General features: G+C 41.2%; 2 annotated features.

Annotated features, from left to right (window-relative positions):
- Positions 5,767 to 6,303: an enhancer, noted in NCBI's record as "NANOG-H3K27ac hESC enhancer chr5:60585026-60585562 (GRCh37/hg19 assembly coordinates)". NCBI's record gives its function as "activates a minimal SCP1, AML or CMV promoter by ChIP-STARR-seq in primed H9 embryonic stem cells {active_cell/tissue: H9 hESC(primed)}" and the evidence as "EXISTENCE:reporter gene assay evidence [ECO:0000049][PMID:30033119]".
- Positions 6,304 to 6,838: an enhancer, noted in NCBI's record as "H3K27ac hESC enhancer chr5:60585563-60586097 (GRCh37/hg19 assembly coordinates)". NCBI's record gives its function as "activates a minimal SCP1, AML or CMV promoter by ChIP-STARR-seq in primed H9 embryonic stem cells {active_cell/tissue: H9 hESC(primed)}" and the evidence as "EXISTENCE:reporter gene assay evidence [ECO:0000049][PMID:30033119]".

A 10,633-nucleotide genomic window follows, 5' to 3' on the forward strand; every position in this document is an offset into this window, starting at 1 on the left:
TTTTTGGAAAAATATACGTATATATACATATATGTTTACATATTTTTATACATATACACATATGCGTACACACATATATGTTTACATCTTCATGATAGCCATGATTTATGCCCTTCCAGAGTGGCTTTCATATGAATGGATTGATAGAGCTTAGTTTTCTGATAATAAATATGAGGGTTTTGTTCAAACGTGCTTAATTTTTTTTAGAGACTGGTCTCAGTCTATTGCCCAGGCTAGAGTGAAATGGTGCAATCAACAGCTCACTGCAACCTGGAACTCTTCGGCTCAAGCAATCCTCCCATCTCTGCCTCCTGAATAGATGGGACTATAGGTGCATGCCACCATGCCTGACTAATTTTTGTTTTGTTTTGTTTTGTTTTGAAGAAACAAGGGTCTCCCTATATTGCCCAGGCTGATTTTGAACTCCTAGCCTCAGGCAATCCTCCTGCCTTGGCCTCCCAAACTCCTAGGATTACGAGCATGAGCCACCATGCCCAGCCTAAACAGACGTATAAAATTTTTAACAGTAAAGACTTAATGGAGCTGACATATTTGGATATGGGGACTAGAACAGAGGACTTGAAAGAGAACTCTTATTGATGCTTATGTGAATACTGCAATGATGAATGCATTTTTTTCTTGCCAGATATCAACCTGGATAAGGTCTTTAGATTTAAATATTAGTCAGTTGAGAAATGGATATACACATACTAATAAGGAAGTTGAATTAGATGAAAACTAACAAGTTTTCCATGCTTTAGGCTGCCTGCATTACGAGTATATACAGGTGACCCTTGACTGACTTACCCCTCAGTTGGATATTGAGGGATCATTAGAATTCTAGAACTGATTGTATAATTTCAGATATGTGGAGGAGGGAAAATTGATGAAGTGAAGAATAATAAGAGAGTAGGTTAAAAAGAAACTGTAAAGAAGTAAAGAAAAAAATACTGTTTTAATGCTATAAAAATTAGTTGGTGGAGGATAGTTTAAAATTATTAAAGTTGAATATAGTAAATCAAATTACCATTAATATTCGTGAGCACGTGGTTGTGAAAAGATGGATGAAATGACTAGCTAACTGTCTTTTTAATAAGACTATTGGTAATAGAATCAGTTGTGGCTCATTATTAACTGTATTAACAGAAAATTAGCCTACATGAGCACTTAAAAATATGAGGTTGTTTTAATAGACTGTGGTCCCTTATCAACATATGTAAAACTTAAAGGTTTATAAACCATTTCTCTTCCCAGAACTAAACTAGATTAGATGATCAATTAATGGCTAAAATGTTATTATATCTCTTTTTAATATTTCTTGTTAAAAACTTAAATATTCCTGATTCAACTTGTGCTTCTATTTGCCTGATATAATTTGGTCATAATTGGTTTCATTTTGATTGTCTTTACATTTGGGGTACTTATTATCTTTTCTCTCATCCACTGGGAATGCCAAGCACCAATTTTTGCTACTTAGCAAGTCAGTGAGGAGCTTCCCACTGAGTGCCTTAATTATTGTTAATTGAATATTGTAAATGATTTTTCAGGATCACCATCCTGGCAATCCACATAGCATTTTTCTCAGTTAGCAAAAGTTAAAGCACCAAGTGTCCCTTCTACCCCTTACCATACAGTCATCAAATCCAGTACCAGCAGTAACCAGTTCCTGTATAAACGAGCCTTCTCTTTTCAAATGTCACATCATGTATATGCTTCATACGACACTTAGAACATGGTGGCTGCTCAATGAATATTAAACGACAGCTGTCCTTTTATATAGAAGGAGTCCCAGTTCCAGTCTGAGAGGAAACATTCAATTTCCCTTTCCAGAGCTCTCACGGTTCATCTCATGTAGCATGGCATGCCCGGTACCCCAGGGTAGCACTCTCCCATTTACAGGCTCCAGGACAAAGCTTTCTAGAACTTTTTGCTGCTGTATCATCAAAAGGAAGCAAAAAAGTAGTAAATAAAGAGCTTCAGAAGATCCGAGAGTATTGGAAATGCTACAGGCAACAAACTGGAGTGACTGAGCCAGCCTTCTTATGTACTTCTTGCCTTACAATACACAATAAAAAAGAAATGAGAAATGTATGACCTGCCTTTTCAGCTTTTCAACTGTGTCTTCAACTTTGGAGGGGGCTGGGGGCTAAGGCTTCAATGGAATGAAGTTGTGTTGGAGGTTGGTTTTAGCTACATAAAATTTTGCCTTCTTAATGATTTGTTTTCTGGCCCAGTCAATGAAATTTCAACCACTGTTATGAAATCAAGACCAGAAGAAGCCTTGAGACATAATTTAGAGTCTTCTTCCCTATCAAGGCAGCCCACAGATCAACACAGAAAGAAGAGAATCTGTCTTAGAGAGACAGGCTTCCACAGGCTGTGATTGTAACCTATTCTATAAATGACATTTTCTGCCTGGACTTTCCTCTTATATGTAGCCACTTGCTATTAAGTTTGGCAGGTCTTAGATTTAGAAACAAATTCAAGGCCCACTGTCTTAGTCCCTTCCCACTGTTTATAACAATATACCTTAGACTAGATAATTTGTAAACAACAGAAATGTATTGCTCACTGTTCTAGAGGCTGGGAAGTCCAAGATCAAGGCACCAGCAGAGTCAGTATCTGGTGAGGGCTGCTCTCTCTGCTTCAAAGATGGTTCCTCCTTGCTGCATCCTCATGTGGTGGAAGGGGAGAACAAGCTGCCTTTGTCTTCTTTTATAAGGGCACTAATCCCATTCATGAGGGCTCTGCCCTTATGTCCTAATCACCTCCTAAAGGCCCCACTGCTTAACACTGGTGCACTGGGGATCAGGTTTTAACATCTGAATTTGGGGAGTGGTGGGGCATACAAACATTCAGACAATACCACCCACTTTTAGCAAGTTTCTAGTGTTGAGTGTTACAGACTACGTGGTACTAATTTTGTCCCTGTGAAATAGGGACAAATTCTCTTTTTTTCCCCATTTGCCTACATTTCTCAACTGTTTGATCCTTTTATATTGTACATAGTTGTGTAAATCACCTCAAATCTTTTGTTATAGAGACAGGTAAGAATTAATACATGATTGAATAAATAAAACAATAAAACATGCCCTCAGGCCGCAGTTTAAGGGCATTTTTGCTGGTTCTGAAGGAAAGCTGGTCCTCATTAGTAATCAGAGCCTGCCTGTGCCTCAGCCCTTTCTGATGAGCAATGCTCTGACCACACCCTTTTACCTCCCACCCATCATCTGCTTTGGTGAATTGGACCAGTGGTGGGCACCTGACCTAAGGGCCACCGTTGCATTGGCCAGACAATGGTCTAAAATGCAACCTGACTCCAGTAGGTGAACTGGGCCAATCACAGTCATGCTCCTGAGAGCTTAAGTGCAGCAAGAATATGCTAGGTAGTAGTGGTGAGCTGAAACTGAAGGGTCTTGGTTGGAGAGGGGCCCGAGAGGCTGTAATGAATGCCATGTGTAAGCTGGTTATGAGGGAGCAGAAGCCATGAGGAAGCCAAGAAACTAGTCAGAAAGGAGAGGAGGATGAGTCAGGGTGGCCCCAGAGACAGACGGGAGAACAGCCAGACCCAGAGCTGCCACTGTTTCTGGAGGCTTCCACATCTGCCCAGTCCACAAATTCTCCGGTAAATCTCCCAGTAAATCTCTCATTTTTCCAAGGTGACCTGAGAGAGTCTATATTGTTTGCAGTCAGGAGTCTTGGTATGTATCAAAATATTTTCTTTTCTTCCTGTTTTCTCTCAATTATAAAGTTTTTACCTGCTCACTTAGGGCTTTTCTGTTTTTCCAATAAGATATAAAAATTATTGTCTCGTAGAATGATGTTTGGGAACAGAGGTTTAGTAGAAACCAAACAGAAAAGAATAATTATTCCCATCTACTTGTCTCCAAATAAATACTGGATTAAAAATTCTAAATATTTATGGAAGGAGATTCCCTAACTTTCTTCAATGTCTTGTTCAATCTTCTTACAAGTAGTAGAACTTATCTGCCCTGAGGCTCCACTGTCTAATATTTGCAGATACTGAGCTTTTCCCCCTCCTTTTCTACTTGCTTTGGGTAGAATATCTGGCTTTTGACTTCAATGCAATTCTTGAGCAAGTGACTTCCTTCTCTGGGGCTCAGTGCCATAGACTGGAGGCCTATTTGTCTGGAAGGAATGGGAGGGGACCATCAGCCTGTTTTAATATGTGAGGTAGCTGAACTTTAAACTTTGCACACGGTCAAACTGACACACAGTGCCAGAGAGATCCAGAATTTTTGGTCATTCCACCTCCTACAAGGGAAGACCGGTGACTAGTGTGACGAAAATATAGATCTCATGAGGGTTTTGCCATGATGACATGTCTTATGTCACCATATTAGCCACTGTCCCTCATTTATTGGTGTTTCCTTGAGCCTTTAGAAATATGTAAACATATAAACCCCTAGAAATATGTAACACTCCTATGTTTTCATTACTTTCACATTCTTTGGGCCTAGAATACCCACCTGCTACAAAGAGTTCATAACTTTAAATAATTCATGAATTTGTCAGTGTCTAGTTTCTTTTGTAATCATCCTAATGACAAAATTCACTATACAGCAAATCAAATCAGCTGTGCATCATCCAATTTGGTCACCAGCTGAAAATATCAGAACTTTTCCCTTTGAATATGTGTGGATGCTGATGTTTCAAGAAATATTATTCAGAATCACTGTGTGATATACTTGGACTATAGATAATGCCTATTAATGGTGGCTAGATTTGCCTGCTCATTCTTAGCTTTATGAACAGTTAAGGCCTGCTCTGCTGAGGAGTTCGTGGTGTTAACATCTCACTTACTTTCCATGGGAGAACCCTAGCTGCTTAATGGCACTCATGTATAGAAACATCCTGGATATTCATGCCTCTAACTGTCCCATGGTGCTTTCATTCATCTTAGCTGAAATATCCTCCCTTTTCTGTGCACCTTTCAAGGCCCAGCTTACGTCTCCCCTCCTTCCTGAATTCTTTTCTGACCTTTCCAGCCCTCCCTGATCGCCAATTCTTTCAAATTTCAACAGCCTGAGCCATCCATACCAGCTTACCTCTTTATGATAAGCTGCAATGGATAGCTTCCTGCTGTTTAGCAGGTCAGCCCCTCAGCCAAATCACATCCTTTGAAATGGGCAGAGACCACGGCCTTTACTATGGCTTTGTGCTCTACACACCTTGCATGACCACATTCATCTTGATTCAAAAAAATATTGTTTGGTTGATTCACTTCAATTCTATTTTCTTTGCGTGTGGAAAAGCAATATGAGGCCCAGTCACCATCATTTCTATAGGAAAATCTAGAGGGGCCACGAACATTTCAATAGTTCTGTAAAAGAACCCTTATTCACCCAGGACTATATTGCAGTAGGGCAGCCTGGAGAGAGGGCAGGCAGTTTCCCAATTCTTCCTAAACTTGCTTCATTAAGTCATTCTAAGGGAATGTTCAGATGCTCTGACATCTTCATATTTAAACATAAGTATAAAACCCCCTCCGAAATAAAACCAAAATGATTTTTTTCCATTATCCTTCTGAGTGTGGCCAAGTGAGCACTGACCACAGTGAAACTGGCTAATACTAATACTGTGGTGTCATCATCGCTCCCCTCCTTCCTAACTCACAGGAGGAAATCGCAGTCACATTTAAAAAGTGCTCTATCATGATTTGAGTTGAATTATAACTAGAAGATCTTCTTATAATTTTTACATATTCTGAATGTCAAAGATGGAAAATTACTCTTACCGTGCCATTCAACGGCTCCATGATTTTTGACAATTAAAGTTACTGTGGCATTGCTTACAACCGGTAGGCTTGAGTTTGTAAAGCAAGCCCTGTTAAGACTGGCTAATTTAAAAAAAAAAAAAAAGGAAAAAAAGACTGGCTAATTTCCCCTAAGCCCCAGGACTGCAAATTAGGTTGCTGCCACCAGGGTTTTCACATGACTCAACTGTTCTCCAAGCTCTCTCTGCTGAGGCAAAGCATTTAGCACACAATGCAGTCAATACCTTCAAATGAGATAATGAGTGTGAATGGGCTTGGAAGTGTCCCCCTCACTGCAGGGGACCTAGCTCTGACAGCCATGATCAGAGAATAGCAAAGACTGTTGTAGTCCTCAGCCAGGCTGAAGGACTCCAAGGCAGAGGAAAAGAACTCTAAGACCATCCGTTTCTGTATTTCTGCCCCAATGGCTATTCCACATAGTGGTCCAGGAGGCAGGGCAGAGAACCTGGAAGTAGGGGGCACCAGGAAGTAGTCACATCCAAGTAGGGAGCACAGCAAATGCTCAAGTCCCAGCAGCACTTCCTGCCCGGGGTGGGCATCAGTGAGGTCAGGCTGGAGAAATGCAAACTCTGGACTGGCTTGGTCACTGCTGTTCTGTTCTGATGAACTCTCCTTTGAAGGCCTCTTGCACCACTGGCCCTGGGGCACATTTGCAATCGTTAAGACAGCACAATTCAGAACTGCCTTACACCAAACTGCTGGAGCATAAAAATGAGAAGAACTGATGAAAGGGAATCAGAAGCCTTGGATGACCGCTCCATGCCATGGGATACCACAGCTGGCTTGTGAGAACAAGATATTGCTTCCCAACTCTGTGTTCAATGATGTCAGGTTGATACCCTGAGATCAGACCTTGTTGGGATAGTTACGCCACAGAAGTTGGCAAAGAATACAAATCAGTGTTGTGGGTTTTAACCCCCAAGAGAGCCACCACTACGTATCTGCCACATCAGCCACGAGAGTCTGGGTTAATTTTTTAACTTCCCCAAATCTTACACGATACTTATTTCACAGGGTTACTGGTGTAAGTAAGATAATTAATTTGGAATTTATCTGTAAAATGACAGTTTGCACTGGTTGAAGTAAAAGTTAAAGTATTAATATTTATAAAAGTAAAACATATAATAATAATCTTTTTTTTCTTAAAGCATTTTTTTCAAATTTCCATAGATTTTTGGGGAAGAGATGGTATTTGGTTACCTGAGTCAGTTCTTTTGTGGTGATTTGTGAGATTTTGGTGCACCCATCACCCGAGTCGTATACGCTGAACCCAATTTGTAGCATTTTATCCCTCACTCCCCCTCCCACCCTTTCTCCCTGAGTCCCCAAAGTCCATTGTTACGCCTTTGCATTCTCATAGCTTAGCTCACACTTATGAGTGAAAACATACGAAAAACATACAATAATAATCTTTAATTACAAACTTCCGATATGATGTAGGACAAGATTTTAGAAAGTGCAACACTTAGGAAGCAGCATATTTGTGTAAGTTAAAGCTTTACATACAAGTTACAATACTCTTAACTCAAACTGGTTTCAACAATGAAGTGAGTTCATTGTTACCGAGATTAAAAAGGCCAAATAGAGTGCTAGCTGAATCCAGCCAGCTGAATTGAGAGTCAAGGCTTAATCTAGCAGCTCAGACAGTGTCATCGTAGAGTGGATGACTGTGTGTCCCTGTTTGCCCAGAACAGTTCTGTTTATGCCTACTGTTCCGGCATCCTGTCTGGTTTAGCATTTGTCCTGCCCTTTTTCATTCTCAGAATTGTCCTGGTTTAGAAGATAAATGATATGTTTACTTAACCCAGGTTTGCTTTCTCTGCCCAGTAGTTTTGTGTTGGCAAGCTTCACCCGCAGGCATCACATGATACATTTTCCCCACCCACTTCCTGTAGCTCCAGCCTCTTTCCATATTGGTAGCAAAATAATATGTAGCAGCTCCAGACCTCACACCCTTACAACAGCCAATCTAGTAGGACTGAAAATCTCTTCCAACAGCTCCCATCCAAGTGCTGGGGTTCACTGTATCTTACTGGTCCAGTTTAGGTCATGTGGCCATTCCATTCAGGAAAATTGATGGACTTAATCAATCATGCTCATGTCGAGAGTGAGTTTGAGATCATTCTACACAAATCACAGAGCTGAGTGTTAGGAAGGGGTGAATATCCCCAAGGAAGAGTCAGAGATCACTGGCAGTAGAAGAAGTGAATGAATCCCGGGAGGTAAGGAGAGTGCTCCAGGCCAGGGCAGAACGGTGACAGTGCTGGAGGAGGAACCGGCTGACCTGGCTTGTAGCCTTTCCACTAACTGGTGTTGGGATGGTGGACAAACCTTTACATGTCTTGGGACTCAGTTTCCTGATGGCTAAAGTGGAAAGGTAGACTAGAGGACTCCGAAGGTTCCAGTTTGCTCTGAATGTTTCAGTTTCATGTATGGCTATGTTCTGTCATTAGTCTTCAGGGTTATCAACTGCAGGTTTATTTTCTTACCTGATTTTCTCAGTAGGCCTAAATAGAACTTGCCTTGGCTTTGTTTCTAATGCTAGAAAACTTCCAACTCTGGTGGAGATTTGAAATATGCCATCTTCTATTAACTAAGTCATATTCTTTAACTAGCCAACTTTCCCCTACAGTTTACAACTTGTGTCAGACACACGGAAGATTTGCTTTTGGTTTTTCCCTTGTGAACAAAACAAGTCATAAAAAAAATTATATCATGGTTTCCTTACAGTTGCATTTCATCCTGCATTTCTTAAATCAAGAAATTGACTAACATAATGGCTGAATGAATAAGACACCACAGCAATGAATGACTGCCTTTAGCAAACTGAGAGGGAGTCTCATTATTTAAATGTTCCTGGTTATATTAAGTGGAGCAAAAGGCTTGGAATCAAAAGTGAGAGAAATAGGCAGCCAAGTCAAAAATGCCACCAAGCTGTAAATAAAATATGAAACTAGCTTAGAAAGGGAGCATTACTTCGAAGTCCAACACTGATATATGGTCCATAATTGTGGGACGTTTGTAAAAGGTGACATGACACCTGTCAATTATCCACAGCAGCCAGGAAATGTAGATTACATGAATAATTCACCAACCCAGTGCCCTTTGTTGCTAAGCTGTCTCAGCCCAGTTCCATAAAATAACTGCTGATATGAAAGAAGAAAAAAATACGTTTAAGTTGCAAAAGCCTTATGTTACACGCGGAAATGTTTTCAAGGCAGCTTCATCATATGACTATGTTCCAGTTAGCACCGTTGGCTAAATAATTAACATGAGCCTTTATCAGGTGTAACAAAGGAGGGGGCTAGGACTCTGGAAACTTTATATGTTCCCTTTGTGGCAGGTGGAAGCAGGGGGTGCCGCATAAGAGAATCTTCAGTATCAGAAACACATCACTACATATGTCATAATTTTCTCATCCTCCCAAACAGCACACGATCCTTTAAAAAGTCTAAGTCTGTGTTTTTGTTTTGGAATCATGGAATTACAGAATAATCAATTTCATAGGTCACTTACAGATCGCCTAGTCCAGTGGTTTTTAGAAGCCAACAAAAGTTTTTCTTCTGAGAAGGTTTTATGTGAAAATACAAAATACAAGACAGATGAAGGTGGAGTTGTTTTTGTTGCCCTCGGGGTGGTGGTGAGCAGGATTATAGAGGATGGCAGGAAACTGCCTGGTCAGCAGCCCCTACTCTGCACCCCACTCCCCACCCTTTCCCAAGCACTTACAAGGATCCAACAGTGCCATTTCGTAGATGAGAAAACTGAGGCTCCTTGAAGTGGCAAAGGGGCTCTCTGAAGTCCCAGAATGAGGCAGAGGCAGAGCTGGGACTGGAAGCAGGACTGCTGATTTCCATGCAACACACATACACGTGTACCACTGTAAGTACAGCTTGTCTACACAGCCATGTGAGCCACCAGGATTTGGAGAAATACCAGTTCTGCAGCTCCCGGGACGGCACAATAGAGCATGAGGCATGGAAACAACTGACTCTTTCATTTGTAGCCTGGGCCCAGGCAGCCTGATACCTATACCCACCCCGCTCTTTCCCCACACCCTTGCTGGCTACAGGGCCTGGGTCAGAGGTCATGGGCCAGGTGGAAGGTGGGGCCTTGGAATGCCCAGGGGACTGGGCAGGCAGCCATAGGTAACCAGAGCCAGCCATCTAATCCATCTGCTTCCCTGGACTGCTGTGAGAAAAAGCCTCATTGGAGAGACCTACCAAAGTGGCTGCTTCCAGGAGCAAATCCAGCCACACTGTGGAGAAAGATTTTCTTGCCCTTACAAGGTGGTTCATTCCTTGTAACTTCCTTCCTTCAAAATGAAGTTCCAGCAGACAAAGAGAACAAAAAAGAGGTCTGTTTCTCATGGTTTATAAGGAAAAGAACACCTTGTAGATAAAGTACAGCCTTTCCCATTTTTCAGAAGCAAATGAGTGTTTCTTTCTCATTTGAGGCTTATTTGCAGCCAAGGTTTGGCTTTGTTTTTGAAAGTTTGGAGGAGGTTACATTCTTGTGTATACCCACTGGGTGCAAGTGCTTTGGCACAGGTTTTCTAATATTTGCTGTTTTTCTCCAACTGTCCCAAATGGTAGTTTATAGTATTTCAGCTCTTTCAGAGGCCAACCTACAGGGAAATGCAATGAAAAGGGAACTGAGTTTCTGATTCAGGTGAAAGGCAACTGTAATTTCAGGCTTTCTGCATGTATCTCTTTGCAATCAGTCATTACTTTTGAAATGAACATTATATTTAGTCATATGCAGAAATAATAACAAACTGCTGGTTTCATCGTGAAGATCTGAAGTTGAAAACTTCATGTTTTAACATTGACCATT

Source organism: Homo sapiens, chromosome 5 (assembly GCF_000001405.40).
Source record: "Homo sapiens chromosome 5, GRCh38.p14 Primary Assembly".
Classification (NCBI taxonomy): Eukaryota; Metazoa; Chordata; class Mammalia; order Primates; family Hominidae; genus Homo; species Homo sapiens.